At 35.7% G+C, this 27,439-nt stretch overlaps 1 protein-coding gene across 59 annotated transcripts in view; it reads right to left on the reverse strand.

Annotated features, from left to right (window-relative positions):
• INPP4B (inositol polyphosphate-4-phosphatase type II B) overlaps positions 1–27,439 on the reverse strand; it is an 823,376-nt gene that overhangs the window by 13,118 nt on the left and 782,819 nt on the right. The window contains exon 21 of one of the 59 annotated variants that reach the window (NM_001385380.1): positions 19,642–19,699. The exons of the other annotated variants lie outside the window; for them this stretch is intronic. Within the exon in view, the coding sequence (NP_001372309.1) occupies positions 19,654–19,699 (46 nt within the window). The 3' untranslated portion in view covers positions 19,642–19,653. The remainder of the gene's footprint in view (positions 1–19,641; positions 19,700–27,439) is intronic. 59 annotated transcript variants of the gene reach the window in all.

Below are 27,439 nucleotides of genomic sequence, written 5' to 3' on the forward strand. Positions count from 1 at the left end.
AAATCTTGATTCCTTTTCAATGTCTCCTGTTAGGAAAAAAGTATAGAATCATCTGTCAACCAATCAATCAATCATCATAGTATAAATATTATATGCTGATTATAAATTTAGCTTAACATATTGGCCACAATTTATCAACATAATAGTAGAGAAATACACTTTCTCAGTGGAGCCACCCTACAGATATTCCTCCTGGCTGAGGAGTAGAGCATTCAAAAGTCTGAAAAGTAATTTGAAAATATCTTAGAATGGTCCTTATTCCAAATATAGGGGAATAATTTATGCCAGATGGCTTTATTTTCTACAACTGCCAAGGAATACTTAAAATTTTCCAGTCTGCATGTTGTATATGTCCTCCAAGTGAAAAATCACTAAATTAAAAGGTTTTTGTTTTTGTTGTAGAGGGGCAGTTTTACAACGGAATTAATTTGTTGTTAACTTCCATCTCTGGAAATCAGAATAACATATTAAAGATGTCTCACATGTAATCATCTTATATTCAGCTGGAATTTAAAGCAACATGGCCTAGGAGGCTGCTTCAGATCCTAAAGCTTGAGCCCCATGACTGTATCAGAGTAGACACAGGTGACTTTGGGACTGCTTCCTACTAAGAATAGTACAAATGGTCATTTCTTCATGGCCACCAATGAATCTGTAAGTGCCCTGCAAGTGCAAAATGCAAGGGATGTTTTAAGTAATAACATTAGTAACTTCCTCACTAGGAGATTATGACAAATAATTAATCAGTAGCTTGCAAGGTACTCTGGCATTCCAATGTCATTAGTTTTGGCCATCACCGTGGAAGCAAATCACAATGTTGTTTCCACTGAAAATGTGACAAGATCAGACACTTAAGGGCAGTTGTTAAATCTGCAGGATAGAAAATGATCTTTTTTATTTATTTATTTAAGACCCGTCAAAGCAGTCACTTAAAATAGAAACAAGTTAAAAGACATGTCTCACTTTTAAACACATCACTGCCTACATGAGGAGATATATCCGTAAATATAATCCAACGTGCATGATTTGATGACATTTGCTTATTTCACTTTCTTTTCTGCAAGTATCTATGCTGTATCCTAGATCACAAGTCACACCCATCACAGATACTCTCTCAAATCACTCTGACTTCTAAAAATAAAAGTCAGTCTTCCTATCTTCTCCTGCTGGGTAGTTATTCATTAATAGGTTTGCTATTTGATATCTTATTCCTTTGACTATAGCTATTCAAGCTTCCCAAAGGAAAATTACCAATTAAAACTGAATTGAAAAATCTTTCCTTCTGACCACCAACCTGATTTCCTCCCATGATAAAATGAGAACATTTCACATTTAATTACATGCTTCAAGTTTGAAGCTATGGGTATACCATCCTGAAATTACGAGCCAGGATTTTAGAGCCAATATCTTGCAGAGCTTTATTTGACTCAACATTCATCTGATGGATCAATATTAATAGAGTACCACGTTTCAGGCCCTAGACTGTTGAATTGTATCAGATTTAAATCCTGCAGATCTGTGTAAAAATGGATATAATGAATCTGGTATCAATAAGAGCTGTGAGTGTGGCACAAGAAATCACAGGATCATAGATTCTCAGATGTAAAAATGGCTTTAAAAAGTATTCAAGTTGAACGTACACCTTTTCTAGATGAGGAAATAAATTTAAAAATCTTAAGTTTCCATAGTAACAAATAGTAAAGAATCTTGAGAACACAGTTTCCCTAATTCACAGTTTGCTTATATCATAGTCTGATAGGAAATGGAGAAGGATTTTCATTTTCAGTTTAGATCAATGTCCAGGAAGTTAAATAACTCGAAATACTCTAGATAATTTGTTATTTTACCTAAACTTTCCAAAGATTACATTTATAATTAGAATATTAAAAGTCGAGTTTCAGGACTTTTCAAAAACTGCAACTATTTAAATGTTGTGAAAATTTTAATAAGGGAATATCATGAGTGAGATAATTCCCATTGGCCTAAATGTAAGCATAGCCTATGTGGTCATAGGATCCCCAGCCCCATTTAAACTGTCTTCTCTTCTAACTGTATTTCAGAATATAATTTAGAATATATTATGTTAATCACAGGAAAAGCCCCTAAATCAGGAAATTACTCAAAAGACATAAGCCAGTGTCACTGCTTTGAACATCATAGACTGTTTCTAATGATTATGGACAAGTTTGCTACAAAAGAAAGAGCAATCTTGGGCAACATTAAGCAAAATGCCCACTCATGGGAGTTGTGAGTTCTACCCACATGTGTACTTTTCTTGACATGGTATTCTAAGGGAAGGGTTCCTGTAAACTAGAGGATACCAGAGCATGGTAACAAAGGTAATGATAGTGGGGTTTGGGAAACCTGGCAGATCAGGAAAGACTGAAGACATTGAGAATAAGAAAAATCCATTGCACTGGAGAAGAGGAAAATTTATGATTAAGTGGTTGTTGATTTCAAATAATCAAATGCTATGTAGTGTAAGGCGTAGGCTGCCTTGGAAAGGAGCGCAAGTGTGTGAAGTAGGGAGAGATCGCCTATGTATCATGTCCTATCATGCAATACGACGTCTTTTTAGATATTTTTTTTCATATACTGCAAGCAGTCGTACTGGTTGGTATTAGTTTTTGTATAAGCTCAAAATGGTTTCAAAATTTGATTGAGTAGCAGATCAGGGCTTTTATCCCTGTCTGTCTAATGAAAAAACCATATTCCTTTCACTTCATGATTGAGATCCCTTAAGCACAGGTTTTCTGCTACCTCTCAGAAGCAGGGAGATGTGGTTTCCTGCCAGTTGTAAGATTAGATTCAGTGACCTCTAAAATTACTTTCATCTTTACTTTCCTGTGATTCTTTGATCCTATGAAAACATAACTGCAGTACTCCAGAGATGCATATTTTTTCTACTAATAGAATACTTGACTGTTCAATAAGAAATAGTGGAGTTGGGGGCAAATTGGAAGAATACAAAGCATGCTGAAATTGTATTTGGTCTCTAAAATTGTTCATGCTCAGTCTTATCTATTTTCAACTTCAATATTGAAAATAAAAACAAAACTACATGAATATATTTAAATGTATTAATTTTTCACTATCACTTTTTATACCTTTTGTTCCAGTTCAATGTTTTTGTTTTATAAAATTCCGAGAAAATAGGAATATCCTCTCATCAGAAGAAGCCAGGTACTAAGTAATAATAATTTCAGAGGATGTCTAAACATTGCTTTGAAGAGAAATTTCGGAAGTACCTATGGCCAGAATTATAACTCAAGAACAGTTAGGAAAGTGGCCTGGTATGAAATTTTAAAAAGTGCTTTATTAAAAAAAAAAGGAAAAATGAAAGAGAGACATAATGAGTTGAGAGTATAATTGCTTCCATTAAATCATTTCAAATAACTGATTCCAGTTTTGATCTTTGAATTTTAGAAAGGAAAATATTTGGATCAAGTCTACAGAGAAATATCACAAATGATTAAAGGACCAAGAAAAAAAAATCTTGTGAAGTGTTTAAGGTTAGTTTTGTTTGCATAAAAGAATGCTAATATGTGATATGATCACTGTATTTAAATATATGTAAGATGGAAAATTTTTGATATATCAATTTTTATTTTGCTGTTTTTTTTTCTTCTTACTTTTTTAGGCTATTGTTTAAAATGTGTGCCCAAGGGAATTTTAGCAGTACTGGAAGCAATAGCTGCCTGAACTAAATTAATTTATCCTTTATTCATGACAGAAAATTTGAAGTTTCCATTGCGGGTTGGGGGGGTAATACAGAATAAAAGGATCTTTTAGGGTAGAGAGAGAAAGAGAAACAGAAAAGAAAAAGAAGGGAGAAGTGGGGGAAGAAGAGGAGGGAGGAAGGAGAGGGAGAGACAAACACAGATACAGCAGTGACAGGAGAGAAGACAAGGGGCAGTGTTTGTCCAGGAGGGTGAAGCCTTGTTCGTTGTTCACTTGCCTGGTGAGGGAGCCCAATAGCAGGGGATGCTGCAGGATGCATGGCTGACCCTTGGTCGTTAGTCAGCTTCCCCAAAGATTCTCCTGTATTGAGTTAGGCTTGGATAAAGTGAAATGAAAAGGTGTGATAGTACCGTAATGTATAGGAAATGGGCACATCAGTGGCTAATGACTGATACAGAAAAGTCTCAAAGCTCAGTGCAAGGGAAGACTTGTGGCTGGAGGAGAGCGTAAAATAATAGAGATTGACTTTCCACCCACTTTGCTAGATAGGAGCTGAAATATGCAATGAAGCTTGTTGAAAGAAAAATTTTTGAAAGAAATGAAACAACAAAAATACATATCTGACATATCTTAGTTAGTAGAAAGATAAATAGGGGATTTCTACAAAGAAATAGGTAAATAGATATAGATCTAGAACTCGTTTTCTGGTTCCAATACCATGTAATTATGCTTTTCTCTGTACAGAAACTCTAACAAGATGACTTAGTTTTAATTGCTTGAAAATAACAGTCAGATAAAAGGAAGGAGACTAGTGTCTTAAACATTCTGTAGGTGTGTTTGTTGCTAAGGTACTTTAAAATGTGAACAATCATGTTTCACTGCTCTAGTTTGTCATTCTCCTGGAGTCTGGGATAACTTTAATTCCCAGTTAAGAGGACATTAACACGTAAAATTACTGTCTAAGCCTTCTGATTCTATTCTTGATAAGCACTAGTCAGAGAATAGGAGGTAAATTCATCACGACACCTGGCTTCCCTTGTGAAGCAAGAAACCTAGCTGAGAAGGCAGTCTGACTCCAGGGCTGCTCTTAGCTCCCAAATAAAAATAAAAGTCCACATGTACCTTAGATTATAGCCTAAGTTCTGAAAGTAGCCTGGGAAATTTAGCAGAAATCAATAATAAAAAAATTAGGATATGAGTAACACGAAAAAAAATTAGCTCATCTCCCTATTATCTAACTCCATTAAGTCTGAAGTTCTTCCCCTTAAAATGAGAAGGTTAACATCCATACCATAGGATTATTGTGAGAATTATGTAAAGGTACTCAGAACGTGCTCAATAGTAAAAATAAATAAATAAAAAATTTAATATCCCTTTTGCCAGGTACGGTGGCTTATGCCTGTAATCCCAGCACTTTGGGAGGCTGAGGTGGGCAGATCACCTGAGGTCAGGAGTTTGAGACCAGCCTGACCAACCTGGTGAAACCCCGCCTCTACTAAAAATACAAAAATTAGCTGGGCTTGGTGGCGGGCACCTGTAATCACAGCTACTCAGGAGGCTGAGGCAAGAGAATCACTTGAACCTGGGAGGCGGAGGTTGCAGTGAGCCGAGATCAGGTCATTGCACTCCAGCCTGGGCAACAAGAGCAAAACTCCATCTCAAATAATACTACTACTACTAATAATAATATCCCTTTTGTTTCTCTTCCTGTGCCAAATCTCAGTTCTTACATAGACAGTGAGTACCTTGCCATTGCTCAGTTCTGGCTCTTTTTTCTCTAATATTGAAATGCCTCAGGATTCAGCACAGCATCCTTTGTTTTACATATATTTTATTTAGTTCAAACAAACAGTTCCAGACTTTAATGTCATTTGATGCTGCATTACAGACACATGTACTGCATCTCCACTTAGCTGTCTAACAGACATGTTAGGTAACAAGGCTAAAACATAATTTAAGTCCTGCTTACTCTGCTGCCACCTCAGATCAGCTCTTCCCTTTCTTTCTATCACAGGAAATGACACTCACCCACTTTCAGACATCTGTATTAAACACCTCAGTCCTCCTTGATGCTTTTGTATTCTCTATACTCCATAGCCATCCATCAGCAAGTCAGACCATTCAGCAAGATCTCCACTACTGCCTGTCATCTACCGTCACTTGTTCTCCTACTGTCAGAAGCTGTTTTCCTGTCTTTTACCATGCTTGCCCCTCTATTAAGTTTCACTAACTCCTAATATATCCATTTAGACACATAGCAAAGCAACCAATGCACAATGCTAGTGGCATAGTAAAAATACTTCCCGAAGAGCTTCCATGGAATCAAAATTCAGCTGTATCCTAGCTATGCACAGGGAGCCAAGCTTGTCAAAAAAGCAGTGGTGCTTATCCAACTGCAGGAAAGTGGAAATCTTTTCATCTGCTCATCACCAAGAGATTGAAGCTCTTGAATCTCAAGGAGGAAGTTTATCTACAGCCTCTTTCTGTACAATCTCTTGTTTTTAAACTTGTTTCTCAAGTTTTTCAACCCCCTTTTCCACTGCCAATTTATGTGTGTGTGTATGTATGTATGTATGTATGTATGTATGTATGTATGTATGTATTTATTTATTTATTTATTTTTAGACAGAGTCTCACTCCGTCGCCCAGGCTGGAGTGCAGTGATGCGATCTCAGCTCACTGCAACCTCCGCCTCCCGGGTTCAAGCGATTCTCCTGCCTCAGCCTCCTGAGTAGCTGGAATTACAGGCACGCGCCCTCATGACTGGCTAATTTTTATATTTTTAGTAGAGATGAGGTTTTACCATGTTGGTCAAGCTGGTCTTAAACTCCTGACCTTGTGATTCGCCCACCTCGGCCTCCCAAAGTGCTGGGATTACAGGCATGAGCCACCGCGCCCAGACGATTCTATTAGGGTTGAATGCTACCAACTTTTCCCAGTGATAGAATCTTGCTTCTGTTCTTTTTTGCTGCATCTGAAATGGATGGAGCGAACTATGAACTGGCTCAACATCAAACACCACCATTACCAGTGTTGTATATTCTCAAATACTAACCTCTACTCACTCTTTTAAGTCAGACCTTCCAAAAGAATCAATTTGAAGTTTTTGTCCTTGGAAGTATTAGAGGATTCATCATCTCCCCAAAAGGATAGGGTCTCTCTCTTTCCTCCATCTTTATTCTTTTCCCACTTCTATTTCCTAACTAACTTTTCTCTTTAATTCCACTCTACCATGCAAACATCATGATGCTACAATTTATGTTATCAGCTCCTGGAAATGATGCAAATCATAGGAAAGAGAATAAGATACATTTAAGAATCTTAAGGTTTAGTTTTGGAATAACATGTACATGGCTTAAAACAACAGCAGTTACCTGACTATGAAAAAGGCAAAATATAAAATATACCAGAGAGGAATAACTTCCAAGGTACAGCTCAAAATGCTTTATATATATCATCATTCATTTCTTCTACAAAGATTCAAATACCAGGGAAGTTTTCTTAGAGAAACAGAATGTTGTGATGTATAGTGAAGGCCGGATAGGGTTTCAAGGATTAGAAATTAGGTGAGATAGAGGGGTATAAATAACATGGAAAGCCATGGAAAGAAGAATGGCAGATGTATTTGGGAATGATTCACAGCTAGCTTTGGTCATAATGATGAGGAGGCAAAAAAAAAATGAAAGGAAAATTAAATGCTAGGATATTTTCTGTTTCTTATCTATTTTATACATTTTCTAAAATAAACATTTGCTGTAAGAAATTCAGTAAAATGAGATGAGGCTATGTTGTAAATGTTTGTGGTTGATGACAAACACAGACATCATTCTCTAGATGTAGGGTGGGCAAACACTGAAGACTTATGAGCAGCAAAGTGTTGGGATTAGCTGTGTTGTAGGATGGCACCTAGCATGAATAAGTAGGGTGGCTTGAGCCAGGACTGAGGGACAAGAGTTGAATAAACTAGGGACATGGAGACCAATTAGTAGGCTACTACAATAGTAAAGGCAAGAAATAGTGAGAGCTTGAACTGGAGAATGAAGAGGAAAGACTAGGAAGATACAGATTCTAAAACAGAAGTAATTTAAAAGTAGAAGACAATTAAGATTTTAGATAGAAGATCAGAAAGAAAAAATTTAAAAAGTTATTTTCAGGTTTTAGAAAAAATACATTATATTTAAACATGCTAAGTTTGATGTATGACGTTAGTTAGATATAGATAATAAAAAGGGAGGTTTGGAGAGGATCTATGCCATGGATCTATTCCTTATATTTCATGCAAGAAGTAGATTAATTAGATGGAATCATCCACGTAGAGAATACATCACACAGACAAGGGTGGAGGGCAAAACTGGGGGAATGCTTACATTTGTATGGCTAGAGAAGAAGGCAGATAGTAAGGAGTGACATAGAAAACAGTCACAGATTCAAAGACTTACTGTGTAAGTAAGTATGTGTCAAATGCTGCAGTTGGAGCAAGGAGGCTACAAAGGAAACGAGGTCACCAGATTCCATGATTTTGTGATTTGTAGCCTGTGACTTTCAGTCGAATTTTAGGAACAGGGATTAGGTTACAAGCAGCTGATGAATGAAGAAATGGAAGGCAGCATTCTATCCTATGGAAACTACTGTGTTCAGAGCACTGATAGTGAAAGAAAAAAAAACACACAGAACCTCACCCAGCCAATAGGATTGATGGAACCGTTTTAAGATATATGAAATGAGGATGCTTGGAGGCACAGAGAAAGGGGTAAGTAGGGAAGATCCAAGAATAATATGGAATATTTCATCATCTTTTTGTCGTTGTTTCTCAGGAGAACAAAAGTTATTTCAGGGTTAGATATTAGCCATACAATAGATAAGTTTCACTGATTATCAAAAAGTCCTTAGTCAGAGTCCACAACCACAAAGCATTCTCTCATTCATCTGAACATGAAACTGAAGAGAAAGGTGTTTAGGAACAGGATGCAGGGAACGTAGGAAAGTAACCCAGTTAGAAAATTCACTTTTCCATTTTGTGACACAATCAGAAATTTTTGCAATATATTCTCAGCCCTTTAGTAAGAAAATACAGCCAAAATTGAATTTCTGAGCACCTAACAATTAATGTCAAAATATATTAGAACACCTGTGCTGCTAAGTGTGTTTGAAGTAGCATCTTTGCATATAATTTTAAAGCCCAATGTTATGAAAATCTCAAGAATGTACATACCTATATAAATGTTAATGCAGTGTATACATCTCCTGAACTGATCCCTTCTTCACATGGTAATTTGGTTTAAAGCCTTCCAATGAACATATACACAAACAAACACAACGCTACTAATTAGGAACATTTTATTAACACCAGTGACTGTCAAAACGATTATGCCACAATGCCTTTGTACTGGCCTTTTAATTTCTAATAACTAAAATTTTTAATTACCGGGAACTAGATTTTGTATCCAACATACTATTTCTGATTATGGTCATTGGGAAAGCCTTACAAGTGGCTTTCCAGAACTTCAGTATCTACTTAGAGTTAATAAAGAGGTCCATCTAGTTTCCAGATGGCTACTTCCTCTTGTTTTTCTAATATTGAGCATTTTTCTTTTTTAAAATTGGTACTGTCCCACTGTAAGTTACAGAGACTTGGCTGTGAATCTTTATTAATCTCTTTCCATTTTTGACCTTTACCTCTCAGCTCATCTAAGAATAGGGAATACAGCTTCATGGAATATTTCCCAAAATGTGTGTAATTAAATAAGTTGGGAAATGCTGGGTTAGAAAACTCATACAGAATTTCTAATTTACTTTTTTAGTCAAGAGATATTAATTAAGCATCTGCATTGTGCTAGGCTTTTAAGTAACCTGGATACAAAAGTAAAGGAGATAAATTTCCTATTTTCATGAAACTTATATTCTAGTCAAAAAGGCAGACCGTAAGCAAACAAATATACATTTTATTTTAGGTAATAAGCCCTGAGGAAAAATATGAGTGCAAAGGGCTTGAAAGCAGCGAGCGGTGAGGACTTTTTTTCAATAAATTGATCTGGGAAAGCCTTTTTTGAGGGGGTGAGCAAAAGAAGGAGCATTTTCAACACTTCACCCTGCAACTTTTTTTATTGGTAATAAAAAAATGTGTAAACCAATATTCTACAAAACAAACTTTGAGAAGGGCCAAACTACTCTGCTCCCCTACCTTTCCAGATCTGGGCTCTAGTCATAACTATTGCATAATAAGAAAAAGTGTTATTTATAGCAACTTAAAGTTTTATTATAAGCTAAGGAACAAGTTTGACAAGATGACCTGGAATGCCAATTGAATTTTAGGAACAATATTTGTTGAGCATATACGATGCTTTAGACCTTTGTTAAAACTAAAATCAACTACAATCGAAGACAGTGAGTGATGAGAGCACCAGAAGTAAGTGCTGGCCCAGAGGAGAAAGGGATTAGCTTGGCCTTGGGGATTCATGGGCATCTCCAAGGGTTCTTGTGAAAGCCAAATTGGTGCCTAAAAGATGTATGAATGTAGTACAGTTGAAGGAGGCGGGTAATCAACTCAGGAGAAGGAAAGAACAGCATGAACAAAGGTATTAGGAAAAACTAAAGACATATGCAGGGACTGTGAATAATCCAAACTGAGTAGAGGCTAGAGTGAAAAGAAAGAGGAGGGAATAAGGTAGGAAAAGCTGATGGATCCTGAAATGGCAGAGGCCCCTAAATTCTAGGTAATTTTAAAATTACTCTGTATGTACTGGGGAGGGACATGACTATTTTTGAACTTTAGGAAACTACTCTTTGATGGGAATGTGGAAAGTAGATTGGAAGATAAAGGACTGGAGAAAAGGGAATTAAGTGACTACTGCAGTGGTCCCAGTGAAAAGTCATAAAGGTCTGGAGTAAAGCAAGAGGAGGAAATGAACGAGACACCATGTATTAAAAAGATGGGAGTGAGTGAATTAGTATCTTAGAGAGCTCACCTTACAAGGCTTATAGACAGAGGCAGCAATTAAAAACTCCAAGACTGAGGAGACAGTATTTTATCTCAGATACATTTTTTTCCTTTCTCCTCTCTCTCTCTCTTTTTATAACTACACTGAAGCAGATAATCAGACTGGGTCTAACAGAGCCATCATTTCTGACACTTGCAACGATTCTCTGCAATAATGCTTGAAATGGCTGTGTTGTTTGTCAAGAAGATGGCTATTAGGGAGAGTACAAAATATCACTTGGAGCCAACAGTGGTAATTTGCTCAGAGTTAACTTTTTTGATAGAAATAAAGAGTGTTTCAGTAGTTTTATTCTAGGAGAGCCAAGAGAATTCTAAGGGCACCAGTTTTTTTCTATCCATTTGGTTTGTGCTTTGTTGCACATCAGTCAGAAATGACATTTTATATCGACTATTCTGTTCAATTGAATAAGACACGAAGACACAGAGCTTGGAAAAAGGGTATTTTTTCCCTGACTTTTTTGTTTAGGCTTCTGCTAAATTGCTCAAAGCTTTTCTTCAACTCAGACTGTTAAATTTAGAAGGCACCCTTAGAGATCACCTGGTCCAACCCCTTCATTTTTCAGATGAGAAAGCAGAGGCCTCCAGAGAAGGACCGAGATCTCATTAGTACTCCATGGGGTGTAGAGTAGAGATTATGTGCAGAACAATTAGATTAATGATACTCTTCGGCTCCCACAAAATAAAGCAGAATCTCTCCTCTCATCCCCCATCTGTAACAGAGAGGAAAGAGTTGGTTTCATACTTTTCAGGTTTTATATATCTTGAGACATTCCTGTGCAGAAATACTCCCAGGGATTGCAAGGGAGCAGAGACAAAGAAAGATAGCACAGATATGAAACAAAAATCTCTCTATTTCCCAGCAATCCCCATGGTATTTTCCTTCCTTTTCCTAGATAATTATGGGATGAAATTAGCCTTTCTCAACCTGCCACTGTGGCTGCTGTTGCACCAACTTATAAGCCACTAAGAATTCCAGGATAAAGAAGAAAGGAAATTAACACTTATTCAAAAGCATCAACTAAATTCATAAAAAGTCAATCATAAAAGTTCCTATGTATTAAGCACTGACTATTTCACAAATGCTGATCACCTCACCCCAGTGGTCACCTTTAGCTTTCATACCACTCCTGTGAGGTAGGTACAAAGATCCATTCTGCAAATTGGAAAACTCAGAGATATTAGGTACTATGTCCAAACTCTCACTGGTAACATGAAGTAGAGATATAGAATTTGAATCCAGTTCCTTCTGACACCTAAGTCTGTGCTCTTAACAACTGTGCTATACTTTTTTCCTACATTCTCCATTGCACGAGAAACTGCAGATTATAGTACTTGCACACATGGCCTTACAGAATATGTAGGACAGCTCAACACTCAGCATAATTGGAGAGTAATAGGTAGTATTCTCTGTAAATGAAATATATGTTCTGAACCTAAACAGTTATCAGAGTGGGCTTAGGCTTAGGGTGACTTGTGATGTCCCCAGTTCATACCTATTGTCCCAGAAGGATTTACATGGAAGGATGGAAGAAGGGCATCTGGTGAAAGATGACAACATTAAAAAAGAGAGAAAAAGAAATAAAGAGAGGCAAGGGTTTGTTATGTTTGTGTGTTACATGTTTGCTATATGAGTTGGAGGGGGCAGGTATTTATGTGAACTAAGGGTGAACGATAAGTGGGGGAGAGCAACAGAGAGGTGTGCTCTGATAAAGGGATGAGCAGATGAGGTGGGCAACCAGCAGAGGCAAAAGCAGCTTGAGAGCTGGTTAAAGAAAAGCTATTGCAAGATCATAGTATTATACATGATATACTTGGATTTAAAATATTAGCTTGAAAATACTGTGCATGGTAGATTGAAGCAGAGCAGTTGGAAGCAGAAAAGCCAGTGAGATTATTGCAAAGAATATTGAAATAATCAAGGTGTGAGGCAAATAAAATAGGACCAGGGTGGCAGAACATATCAATGCCAAAGGACACATCGAGGGGGAAGAAATGGCAGAATTTTGGGCAACAGACTAGTAATTAAGACTTACATCATTGTTTACAATTACATTGTCAACAACTTTGAGATGCTATCACCATGGGCAGTGACAGAATAAGAGAAGCTGGCTTACTGCACTCATGAAGTTTTGGAAGTTTTGGCCAGCAAACCAACATTATAGCACACGTTACCAGAAAGCATTTTTACAGTAATTAAAAAAAATGTAATGGAAGAATGTAATGGAAGAATCCTATCATCATATAGCACAGAAAACAGGCAATCTGACCTGTTGTTACATGTATTTTACTTTCAGCAAAAGAGTATCATGTCAAAGTATATGAATTCTGCTAGTTCAAAGTTTGTTGGTTTTGTTCTATGTAAATTTGTACATTTGTTTTGGCTTATAGTTGCATGAAAACTAAAGACATAGGAAGTTTATGTCTGGTTTTATGTTTGTATATCTACAAGAAACATAATAAAGAAAATTTATGCCTGAAAGAAGTTATGTAATAATTACTTTTCCTTAAAGAGGTCTATTTATGACTCAAGCTGAGAAATAGAAATCTAATACAAATAAGGTTGTTTTTTACATCAATGGCTTTGACAAGCAAGTAGTTATCTATGACTGTATAGGTTAAGCGGACTGGTGGTTTGGAAGTAAAACTGTAAAGGGATAGGAAGAAAATAGATTTAAAAAAGCAACAATAATAAGTAGTTGTGACTGCATCAAGAAGTATATGTTGTGTATGTCAAATTCTGTAGGAAGAAAAAAAGAATGAAGAAATATAAGAAATAAAACTAACCATATAATCTATGATTGGTACTCAAGACTTGGTACAATAGATACACTTGACTAAAATGTGAGTTTTGTCATTATGTGGTGGGCACTAAATGTATTTCTTTCCAGAAAGATGAATCTATCAATAAGCAGAAATTCATTTTGTGACAAAATTAATAAATGGCAATTTGTAAGATACATTAAAATACAAAGTAGAAAGAAATATGAAAGGCAATTCAGACACCATATCTCATTACTCAAAATCACAAAACAATCAACTAAAGGCCTATGTTCTTATCCACGTAAAATACCATTGATGATGTTGGAAGCTGATTTTATGACTTTTCATCAGGTGATGAATTAATTACTATTGTTAGGCTCCCGCATCACATGGCTCAAATAGTTTTATTTTATTTTTTGAATTCATTTTTTCTAAATACAAGCAAATAATTCACTGAAAACTGCTGCCAAGAAGTTGGCTAGGGGATAGGGAAGAATTGACTTAGTACAAATGAGATTCCAAACTTAATCTAATAGTTATCTAAAACATGCTTATGTAGAAATCTGTAGCTAAAATTTACCAGGTTTCTTATCCTTTTGTTTTAGGGGATTGTAACCAAAAGGATGTCATTCTGGTAAAAGAAGAATTAGCTGCCTCATTACTTTAACATTTTTCTAATAAGAAGTATTTCAATGAAAAGAATAATTAAAAACAAAAAAGATTATTAGCTAGTGGATTCTTATAATTCTATAAATATCAGGTTTTTAGAAATTTTCAGTAGATAGCACTGTACACAGCACATAGTGATTCTATATATATTATGGGATTCTCAACTCCATTATATACAGGCTTATAATGTAGTGCTTATTTAGTGGGGACTCAGACAATCCTAGGTCTGAATCGGGCTTATTCTCTTCCTACCTGTGCTATTTAGATGAGCTATACTTTGGTAAATATTCGTTTTGTAATATTTAAAATAGGGATGATAAATTTGTATACACACAAACAAACATGAACATGTACAGAATCTTTCTTTAGCATGTCTGGCATATGTTAAATACCATCATCCCTTGGTACCTACAGGTGGATTGGCTCCAGGATGGACCACCATGGATAACAAAATCTGGAGATGCTCAAGTCTCTTACAGCCAGCCCTCTGGGTCCACAGATACAACCAACCACCCATCAGCTGATGAGGAACCCATAGATTTAATTACATACAGATAATTATTAAAGAGATTATCTGCAGAATAAATTATTAACATACATAATGACTTCCAAACTTATTTATTCCCTAGGAATTTTTTAAAATTTCTCTAGAAATTGCTACCTGATTGAGTATAATACATGTTCCTCTGTGTTGAGATATGTAAACTAGAGAAGTTGCATATTTGTATAAGTTAAAATAAATATATAGGTTTCTCTCTTCTCCCTCTATTCCTCCACAAACAAGCACATATTTATAAAAGAACATTAATCCTCAAAAAGATACTACAGCCAAGAACACATTGAATACTTTCATTAAACATTGTTTTGAACATAATACCTTTACTTTATCATCTACTGGCTAAAATTCATAGTGCTTAAATTGCCTAGTTTTCTAAGACAGACTTTCCTATACAGTATTCCGTAAGTATTGTTATAGAATACTAGATGCTGGGTTAACAAAAGTTAAGTTCTTTTATGGTAGAGTTTTCCTAAGACTTTAATATCTAAGTGAGACTTCTGGGAGCTAGCAACATGCTATTTCTTGGACTTGGGTGGTGGTTTCATCGGTTTTTGCTTTATAATTATGTTTTTGAAATGTACATCTATTTTTTATTCACTTTACTGTAAATACATAAAAAAGTCTTACATATAATGTATGTTGTGATATTCGAAGGAGATATAGATTAAAAATAATTTTCTCTTGGTACACACATTTAACATCAGCGTTGCTCTACAAGGGTTTTAAAAGACATTTAAAGCCACCAACTAATTAGAAAATAAACCATTTACCTAAATTGATATCCACATACCACAATCGTGATGGGTCACAAAGCTAAGTAGAAAATTAATTCAACTGTCTAAATAATTCTTACGAAAGTGTATTATTCTTGTGTGCATACATTTAGATATCATTTTGTTTTGATTTTTAACCTAAATAAATGTTTCAGTTTCTTTTCACTTGGTAAAGGATAAAATCTAGGGTTCTCCTACAAATCTGTGGGTCCAGAACCTCTCATTACAAGAAAGCAATGTGGATTCCTTATAGTTATAAGTAAAGGTAATAACACCGTTCTCATCTCTTCATTTTTCTTTGATGGTTTTACTTTGCAAAAAGTATAAAATGACACATTAGACTGAAATAAAATGTTCTGACTTCCTTAGAACCAACACTCAGGTCTTTTTTGATCAAGAATAAACTATTTTTATCAGACTACCATTATATTTAAATACCTTTCAACTATTTACAAAATGACCTCACAAATTGTCCAAATATTTATACCTTTAATAACTTTAAATACTCCATGTATTATAAATTAGATAATGAAAATTAAAGAGATTAGATGTAGAATAAATTAACATGCCTAATGATTTCTAAAGAGAAATGCTATTGCTCTTTTTATTAAACTAGCTTATTTATTCCCTAAGAATTACTTAAAATTTGCCCAAAAATTGCTACCTGAAGTATAACCCATATTCTTTTGTGTTAAACCGTGTTTATTATTCTTCAGATGTATTTCTAAAAAACATGACATCAATTTTGCTGTGCTAAATAAGTATTGTATATTACACTTTTGGAAACACTTACAGACATAAAGCATTTCCAACAGACAAGACATGTACAAATAATTTCCCCCAGATTTTTGTATAGTCATTTTAGAGCTTTTTAACAAGGGTAAGAACTTTGTTGATGAGATGTAAGCCTTTTTTCCCATTTGGGCATTAAAAATGATGGGATTTGGCAAATGGGAACCATATTTATGCAAAGAAAAAACAGTAGCAGGACACACTGGGGAAGTGAGTTCTGAGCTTGGTGCTCTCACTGACTAGTGGTGTGTACTTACTTAAACTTGACTTACTAAAATGGTATTTGGGACAATTGGCCTAGGTACTCTCTATAAGCCCACAGTCTATTCTACTTCAGCAATTCTATATTTGCTTGTCGAATTCTACCTCTTAATTTCTAACTCTTCATTCATCATGTACCAGGCACTGTACTAGATGCCTGAAAGATAAAGTTCCAGCCTTCAGGGCTCAAAGACTAAAGGGGGAAATGATACCCAAATCAATATTAAAACATCAATCTCATGATGAATGTCTGTACAGTGACATTCAAGCATAGACAAAGGAACAATGAACCACCACAGAAGAGGTATTGTCTGGGAGAGACTTCACAGAGATGTCGGAGTTTATTAGGCAGAGAAGGGGAAAGGACACGGCCAACAGGGACTGCGTGTGAAAAGGACAGTGACTTCAAGGACCTGGAGGGTTGGCTGGGAGGACAAAAATTGTGGAGAAGGGAAAGGAGAGGGAGATGGAGAACCATGTGACAGGCCACTGAACTGCTCTTAAGCAGCTGGTACACAGATCAGATATGTATTTTGAAATATGAATTTGGAAAGCTAACACAAAGGCAAGGCTTCCAGAAGGCAATGAGGAGAGAGAACCTGAAGAGAGATGGTGGTGAGGCTGGATCTACCAAAAACATTAAGTGGATGGTAACATTGTATCATTAACAGAAAGGAAACATGTATTTTATAAACACTGGTGATATTGGTACTAGTATCATTGTTCTGCTGGGAAAAATTGTCATCCTGACTTAGTCCTAGGTCCCAAGTATGGCTACCACATTTCCACACAGATAAAAGTTACAATTGTACCTGTAGTCATGGCCCACTTTCTCAGAAAATACTTTACTTTAGATATGCCGGAGTGTTTCACTCAATATTAACCTGAATCTCCCAATTTTTCTCCAAGAAACCATGAATGATAACCTAGACCTAGAAAATTGTGGGAGGGTAGTAAGGTGCTAATTGCTAACCTCTACCAGAAAGCAAGAATGTTACAATAAGAACCCCGATTCAGGTATTCCTTGATTTCTTGGGCTGATTTTTATCGGTGACATAGACTCCAGTGACCATTCTCTAATCCACTTCAGGCCTAAGCTATTTGCACTTGAATATATCATTCTTGCTCACAAAATATAATTTAGTGTTTTAGAATAAAATAGGACAGCTAAAGGAACGAGTTCATTTTCTTAAAAGCCCAAATGGTTTTAGGCAATTCTTAGGACACTGGGGAGATCTGCTCTGTTTTTTATTTTATAATTCTAATCGACCCTCACCTTCATGTATTGTCTTTGGATAACATTGCTGTTTTATACATTCACTCGGAAACTTCTGAAGGAAATATTTTTATACAGGTCATTTAAAAAATTCTCTGATCATACTGTATGCTGCTCTGTCAACCTCTGTTAAGTATAAAGTAAAATAAAACAAAACCTGGCTGGCTGCCCCACGCTCAATGCAACAATATGCCCAACCACAACACCCTATTTTTTTTTTTTAACCTGTTTCTGAAGAAGTGACTTTAGCATCTGGAAACACCACTACTGTATCTGAACACTTTTATGTGCATGTATGAGATAATCGCTGCTGCAAGTTCAAGTTCATTACAGCCTCATTTCAAGTTCCACCTGGGAATTAAACTTAAATTGAGACTGAAATGGGTTTTGTTATCCTTATTGTGCTGCTTAGAAAAAGATGCTTCATGGTGATAGGGAGAATGATTGCCATTGGAGCTGAAAACAGCATTTCAGATAGTTCACCACATACACACACACAATAATATAAAAGTGAGATAATTCCAAAGACAGTCCAGAGGGTCCCATTTTTTTTTCTTGTGAACTGACTTAATTGTGGGTATCTGATTGACTGGACTGGATCTACAACATTTATTTTAATATTTTCTGATCAATTGCTAAGACCAGTGCTATGCTTATAGGAGACTGGATAGTCACAAAAGATTCCTATATCATGCTTAAATACATCCACTGACAGCTAATGGCATTGTTGGGCATCGAGTATTTGGGAGATGGAGATAACAATACACATAAGGGACAGTTAATCTTTATTATGTACTGTCTGTAAGAGAAGAATAGATGAAAGTCTCTATATCTGTGTTAACTTATTCAGAATGATGTGTTCCACTCAGCTTGCATGGCTGCTTTAAAATCAGTCAATTTCAACTATAATCATTCACTAAAGATTGCCTACTAAGAGATAAGAGTGGCCAGGTATATACATGTGTATATGTTTGTGTGTGCATGTGTGTATGTTAGACTCCACTTACTTACTAGTTTGAAACTTCAAGATTCCTGATGTTAAGTCACTATTTTAATAATTTTTTTGTGGACCTACTTTGTGCACTTATAATTCCAAAGTAATACTAACTATGGAACTGATCGGCATGGAGAAAACAACCAAGAACACGCTTTTCAATAGTGTGATACATTAAAGTTTGATGGTTAAATAAACCACTATTAATGGTTTATTAATTAATAATGATAATCACTGATTTCTAACATGCACCACCTGAAAAGAGATGGAAACACTGAACTCATTCTTGTCATTTATAGTGATTCACATGAATCTGAGGTACAGATGGACTTCAAACTTACGCAGAATAAGCTATGGTAAATATAATCATCTATCCCCAATTCATAAAGTAAAGCAGGTCATTGTCAAATAGGGAAGTTTTTTCCTATTGTTTATCTGATTCTTATATGCACTTTAAAATTAGATAACTTTCATTACATTCTTAAAATTACTACAAAAGTGAAATTAAGCAGATGTTTGAGTTAACTCAAAGGACTTTGATAGCTATGTCATATCCTAGGGCATCAGGATAAGTAATCATAAAGTGGTTAAATCTTAAGTGTTTTAAAAGCATTTGTTCAACATTATATAATCTTATTTAATTTTCTACTAAATCTTTTTTTTTTGTACAGAAAATTGTGTTCATGGAATATTAGAAGGATCCTTTAACACAGCAGTCCCCACACTTTTTGGCACCAGGAACTGGTTTCATGGAAGACCATTTTTCCACTGACCTGGGGGTGGGGGCGATGGTTTAGGGATGATTCAAGTGTATTACATTTATTGTGTACTTTATTTCTATTACATTGTGATATATAATAAAATAATTATACAACTCACCACAATGTGGAATCAGTGACAGCCCTGAGCTTGTTTTCCTGCAACTAGATGGTCACATCTGGGGGTGATGGGAGACAGTGACAGATCATCAGGCATTAGATTTTCATAAGGAGCACGTAGCCTAGATTCCTCGCATGTGCAGTTTGTAATAGGGTTTGAGTTCCTATGAGAATCGAACGTCTGTGTTGATCTGACGGAAGGCAGAGCTCAGATTGTGGCTGTAAATACAGATGAAGCTTTGCTGGCTCACCCACTGTTCACCTCCTGCTGTGTGACCTGGTTCTTAACAGGCCACAGACCTGATACCAGGGGGTTGGGAACCCCTGCTTTAACCAAACCAAGACAGCAAAAACAAAAGAAATTAGTATTTGAATAGGCTGAGTTTGAAATATTTTCTTTTATGTGAGAGAGGCTTGAACTCTCTAAACATTGCTACCTTAAGTAAATCTGACTTAAAAAGGAATTCAAGCTACAGAAGATAAGATATTCAGTTGTCTCCCTTTTCTGAATGCTAAACTTTCAGGGAAACCTTTGATTAGGGAATTAGGCACATTGGTTTATGTAACAGAGGCTATATAAATATAACAAGGTGTTGTGGTACCTGGAAACATTTAATCTCACTAATGAAGTAAGTGATAGGAACATGAAAAAAGTCAGCCTCAAGGACTTTTGATTCCCAGAACAACATAAGATTGAGGCCTCAGAAAGAAGCTACTTGTCAGATGTTTTGGTTGGTAACAAAGTGCCGAAAATATCTGGAAGCAGCTAAGCCTAAAAACACACACATATTTTACAAGGAAATGAACAGCCTCAAGTGCTAAAATGGAAAATCTAAATCTACAAAGTGTTGATAACATTAATACTTGATGTCCATGGTGATAATAGGGTACATTCATTAGCTTAGAGGTCTACTGTCCTCTAGTTGCCTTCGGGAATCTGAGCAATACTAGTGAAAAGAGTAAATTAGGGAGACACCAACTTTTGAGCTGCATTTTACAACTCAAATATACCTTGTCTCTTGTCCTGGTTGCTTGGGAACTCTGAAGGCTCTGATTAGCGAGTTTTCACCCTTCATCTGTGAACCACACATGGTTGAGAGGTCATTTGTGCTAAATGCTAAGGAGACAAGTTTTCTTTTAAATTTTAGAGTATGGTACTGTTTGTGATGGCAGCGTACACATATTCCAGAAAGATAGGCACCATGGAAGTAATTACATTGGGAGAAGATGGGAACATATAAATATCTCATCACACAAATCAAAAATTAGGAAATGTAGTAGCACATTTCACATGATCTTTTGTAACAATAAATATTCCATTTTAATAGTATGTTAAAAATCACTCATAAGCCTTTCCTTTCTGCAGTATTTTATCTGTTTATTTCACTCTAAAGTTACAGAAACGTAACCTATAATCAAGTTCTTTATTGGCTGCCTCTTAACATAATTTTTGTTATTCTTCCTCCTCAGTATTGGTTAGTGATGGAATGCGAGAATAAAGCTGAATTTATCTATGTTCATTTATGATTAAAAAAAGATAAATTCTAAGTAGGTATTTTAAAAGATAGTTTGACATATACACTCCCAGTGTTGGACTTGAAATTAAGAGGTCAGCTGGTATTGGTATGAACATTAACAAAGACCTACAGGCTAAACAAGAAATAGTTTAGCCTATTTCTCATTTGCCTGTGTATAAAGATTATGGATATTCTCACATATTCACAGGCAAACAATGAAGGCACAAAATCCAGAACTGGTACTATTCTATTTTCTTGAACTATTCATGCTAAAATTATATCAAAATTTGCTTTTTTACTCCTTAAAACTTTCTGCATATCCGTTACCTCTTTGTGTAGTGCCCATTCTGCTTATTAAACATTTCTAGAATCTACAGTGCCTACAATTTAGCAAAAATTTTATCTATCTATATAGCTATATCTACTATTCCTTAAGACCCAACTCAAATGCTTCAGGCAAAGAAAGCATCATAGGGTGTCAGCTTCCTCCTGTGAGCATGTATTGCACTTTCTGGATTCAACCAGATGGCATTCACAGCATGTAGCCTTGCATTTTCGCCATTTTGTATTTCTTGCCTCCCCTACTATACCGGAGTTAGCTTAGGGCAAAGAACATATTTTATCTACCTAATGTGCCATATACTAAAGAATCATATGTAAAAATACCATACAAGTCAAGATCCTCTAGGGGAACTAAGTGCTGTTCTCTCTAACAGTATCCTGTATTTGGGCCATGCAAATCCTAGTTACTCCATAAATAAATACATTATATCTTAGTAAATTTCAGAAGCTTATGATCACAATATTTAAATTGAGGGTAATCATTATTTGATATTTTATACTGATTTGACATTTTCATCAGATCATATTATTATAAAGCCTTGAAATTGAGGACTAATTCTGGTGTCTTGGACTCACTCAAATAAAAACAGCTCCTCATTTTCAAAAATCGTTTTAAAATACACAGCACAATATTACTGTGCCATTATTTCTCAGATTGTGCTTGATTTTTTCTTTTTCCCTGAAAGTAACTTTGAGGAAGCAATTTCAGGTCCTCTGTTGTCTATTCCAAAAGCACACAGTAGTACAAGAGACCACACGCTCTCCAGTTCAATATTACGTTTAAGGCACTGCAGAATTCATATACCACTCTCATATACCATTTAACACTTATGAAATACTCAGAAATGGGAAGGGTTCAAGACTTTTAAAAACAAAATAGGAAACTAAAAATTCTACTTTTCAGAAGTAATATTTTAAATGTCACTGCCAATTTTTAATCCAATATTAAAAACCTATTGAGGAGGATTCTTGGACAAAATCAACTTATTATCTGTTGTAAGATGTCTAGTTCTAATACAGTTTTCCCTATTTCTAAGAATAAAGGATTGAGATTGGGTTGAACAGTGATAGTGTTTACAACAATTGAGAGGTGGTCACAACTAAAATTGAAAATAATGAGAAAGATTATGTTTTCGTTTTACAGATTTCTCACCCAAATATAGTCTTGCCTGCTGCCATCTGATAAACTATAAAGCAGAAAAGTGCAGGCAGGTCAGAAATCACCTAAAAACCCAATCAATATGTTTGTGGAGGAGATAAGGGCTTATAAACCTGGATATTTAGTCACTTTTCTAGTTTTTCTTAAGGTCATTACTTTGTCAGAGAACATAACTTGATAAAGTAATCGACTTTTAATATTTATTGTCAATACAACCCAGTCATAGGCATCTAGCAAAACATGGTGACATTTCTAGAGTAAGCAATAACTTTTCAAAAATAAGAATCATCAATGTCTCCTGTGGGTGGAGGGTGTTCTTTCTTAAACTTACCTATCCGGTAATAATACCAGCTTAAAGTTCACTTTCTCCCTGTAGCCCCTGACAGTGCCCCATACTTTTCTTAGGCCTCCTACTTGCCTAATCACTCCCTTATTTCTGTTTCCAAAAGCAGAAATTCTGTTTCCATTAAGTAGTTCGTACTTAATACCCTAAAAGACTTAATCTATCATCATGTATCTGTATGTGATTCTCTCTCAGTAGATTCTGAGGTTTTTCATGAGAAGGAACACAACATATTCATATATGCATCTTCAATGCAAAGCACTGTGCTTGGTAAATAATATGCACTCAAAAATTGCTTACTTGTTTGATAAAAGAGAGTGTCCAGAACCTTATACTCCTTATGGTATATGGATTCTGGCCTAGTGGAATAATAACCCAGAATAAAATAACATATTTTTGGAAGAAGCAACTCATAGTCAACTAAATCAACCAAGGTCAGCCTACATAGGCTCTAAAGCATTTTGGGGCAGTAGGTAGACCCTTGAGACATGGCTCCATTCTACCGATGGCATAACATATAGCTAGCTCAGGACTGACATGCCAGTTCACTTTCCAATTCTGTACTCTGGGTGGATCTTCTTGAAGACAAGCTGGTTCTGGGTAACTACAACTATTTACTGGTATTCTGTTCCCTTTGACAGCATCGTGCTACTTAGTAGGAAACTCAAGTGAATTTGAACCAAGTTAAATTACCTACTTCAAGATTTTAGTCAAGATTTTGTGGTCTGGCTTAACTCAAGAATTAACCACAAATTAGTTATAGAATGGCTACTTGCTATACATACGTGACTGATTTTTGGTTTTGCACCTTTCACGATTTTTCAATGCAGGAATCTCACCCTGCCCAGTGAAACTGCCCCATGGGATTTCTACTTTAAAAATTTATTTACTTATTTCTATAAGTGTTTGGTTGCAGAGCCCAAAACCATTTATTAATTAGCTATCATTGGGTATAAGTATATCCTACCAAAAAACTCAGCCCCATTTCTTAAAGCACAGGAAATATATAATGCTCATTTAGGCCACCATTCTTACTTGATGCCTAGAGCCAATTAGAATAAAAATGTATTCATTTATATTTCATTGTACAGTATCAAGTACCCCAGAAAAACTCAGGAGAAACCTTGCTAGATGACAATATATACCACAAAGGACTACAGTTTTAAATTTATTACACAGTGAGACAAAGTTCCTTTAAAAAGGTCATGCATTTTATGGATCCAGGAATAAAGAAATGAATGTAAATTTATCAGCCTAGGCTCTTGGAAACTAGGACTCAGAGTAAGAGGGCCTGGTTCCACCACGTCTTAGCTGTAAGGCCTTTTGCATGTCTTTTAACCCGTCTGTGGCTGTTTCTTGATTTTAAGACTTAATCCGTAGGTTAAAAATCCATGGAGTTAATCCACAAGTTAGAAGATTTAATTCACAGATAACACCCTGCCTGTCTGGAGTCCATACCACCTACCCTGGCCAAGGGGTCTCAGGCATTAGAATTAGAGCAATTAATATCTGTAAAGTAGTTAGAAAAGTGCTTGATACTTAGTAAGCACTGTACAACTGGAAGGAAAAAGGGAAAACAGGCAGACATTTGCCTTATTTTACTCTGTGTTCTTCATATTAAATTTAGAACATGGTATTTGATTTTGCTCGTAATTACTTATAAAGAGTATTAAAATGAAGACTGCATTGAGAAATGGTAGCAATATCTTTCAGGAAGAGCAGGAGTTGGACCGACTTTCACATCTTAAAGGGAGTTTAAAAATTAAGCAGAACACAGAAACCGTATTCCAATATTTGACAGGCTGACCTAAGGAAGGTGATGGTTGATCCAGGCAGGTGAATGGATCAATAATTGGAAGTTATGGGTTAACAGATTTCAGCTTAACAAGAAGATAAGTTTTATAAATCATATAGCTGTCCAAAAATGGAATGGGTTGATACCCAAAGTAGCAAACTCCCTGCTACCGTACATGTGCAAGTAAAGGTTAGCTGACAATCTGTCAGTGATGTTGTAAAAAGAATCCCTGCCTTACTTGGCAGGGTCACTAGGTAATCTCCAAGGTCCTTTCCAAATGCTGCAGTCTTAAAATACCATTAGCAAAAAAAGTTACAAGTACATAGAAATGAAGGAGTTTGAAAATTGACTTTTAAGAGAATAACAATTAATGTGTAAACAAACATTTTATTCTGTTACCAAAAACTTGTGACATTTTATTACCCCATGAAAATAAAAAGCAAAGTATATAGTCTGACATATTTGGGAACAGTTAATTTACACCTATTCTTTTCTCAATTTGTCTTATTTTAATGAGATACACAAATGTTGGAATTTTAAAATTAATATTAAATTTAGTGGCTGAAAAGATAGCATAAGAATACACATATATCTCAGGAGTCACAACGATTGGGTCATTTGAATGAAAATGAGGTTTATAAACATGATCAAATTAGATTTAAGCAAAAAGCATTTAAAGAATTTTTATATATTGTATGTTCTAAATACAATATATAGCATGATATATTAATATAGAAAATATAAAATGTCATATATAAATGCATATATGTACATATATACATATATATATGTACACACACACACACACACACATATATATATATATATATATATATATATATATATATATATATATATATATATATATCTGTAACTTTGGTCTCCAAAGCAAGTAAAAGTAATATGAAAAAATTCATTCCAATTTACTCTTCAATTTCAGTTACTTTATTTGGATCACAAGTCTTGCAAGTATGCTAAATTCATTTTGTCAAACAAAAGTGATTCTTTGAAATGACTTTAGTTAGACTATTTCCTCAAACACAGAGATCTAAGCTTGCTCTAGTAATTCTGTATAAAGTACTCAGAAAAGCATATCTCCTTGCAGTGGAATCAGTTCAGGCGCACCAAGGGAACATCCTATGGCATCCAGTGTGTCTGCTCTTGCCCACCATCACACTATTACACCACCACATCATCATCACAGCACCACACCATCATCACAGCACCACACCATCACACCATCATACCAGGGAGAATCACAGAGCTTTCATATTAGATTCAAGGTGCAGAGTCTTCAGTTGAAAAATCTACCACAAAACTCAACTGAAGGGCTAGTATAAAGAACAATATCCAGATTAAAAAATAATTACTTTATTAGGCTGGGTGTGGTGGCTCATGCCTGTAATCCCAGCAGCACTTTGGGAGGCTGAGGCGGGTGGATCACCTGAGGTCAAGAGATCAAGATCATACTGGTCAACATGGTGAAATCCTGTCTCTATTAAAAATACAAAAATTAGCTGGGCATGGCGGTGCGCACCTGTAGTCCCAGCTACTTGGGGGGCTGAGGCAGGAGAATCACTTGAACCTGGGAGGCGGAGGTTGCAGTGAGCCAAGATGGCACCACTGCACTCCAGCCTGGATGACACAGCAAGACTCCGTCCCCCCGCAAAAACAAACAAACAAACAAACAAACAAACAAACAGACAAACAAACACAAAAAAACTTTTTTAGATGAATATACTCCTTAACATAAGACACTGTGAAGTTCTGGACCAGAAGATACCTAGTTTGCCTTTCAACACTGATCCAACAGAAACACATATGTATAGACCTCAGGTACATATTCCAAAAGAAATGGGGAAATATGTTAACTACACTTTCGTAGGCACTTCAATATAATTTTTGTTTAACGTTGAAATACTGAACCTTGAATTTAGATTTATTGGTTCCAATGGAGACATAAAGCTATACAAGGATAAAGATGCCAAAGCCTTCTTTTATATGTAAGAATGTTGATTCAACATTTATTTTTTGCAGGGATGTGGCAAAAATATCAGATTGCTGAGCATTTTCCTTAGAGGAGAAGTCAATATCTATGAGGAGTGCTGACTACTTACCTTGTAGCAACTTTCTTTCTTAGCTGCTGGTGGAAACAGTCCACATGATCTGCCTGAACAGAAAGCCTACCTTTGTAGGGAAAAGAATGCCCTGCCTGACTGAAGACCCATACTATCCACCCTGCCCAGGAGCCCAAGCCATGAGAATTAGAGAGGGAAGTTCACACATGCTTTTTACCTCGTCAGACCCTAAATGAATTAAAAAGCTTCTTTTTCTCTTCTAGTCCTCCACACACACAAGTCCAGATTCTTCCAAGACTCTTTTAGTTTGTTTTTTCCTTGACTGTGATAAATTAAATTGAAATTTTGCTTCCATTTCAAACTCCAGAAGAAAATATGTTCAGAAACATATTGACAAAACATGCTAATACCATTTTAACATTTGGTTGGAGATAAAGCTATTCAAAGGGCAACTACTAAATTTAAAATTGAGCTCAAAATTTTAAAAATATATACACATAAATTTATTTTCCCTAGTACTAGTATGCTGACATCCTAAAATCCCTAAGGCTTTTTAAAAAATGGG

This window comes from Homo sapiens, chromosome 4 (assembly GCF_000001405.40).
Source record: "Homo sapiens chromosome 4, GRCh38.p14 Primary Assembly".
NCBI classification, from domain to species: Eukaryota; Metazoa; Chordata; class Mammalia; order Primates; family Hominidae; genus Homo; species Homo sapiens.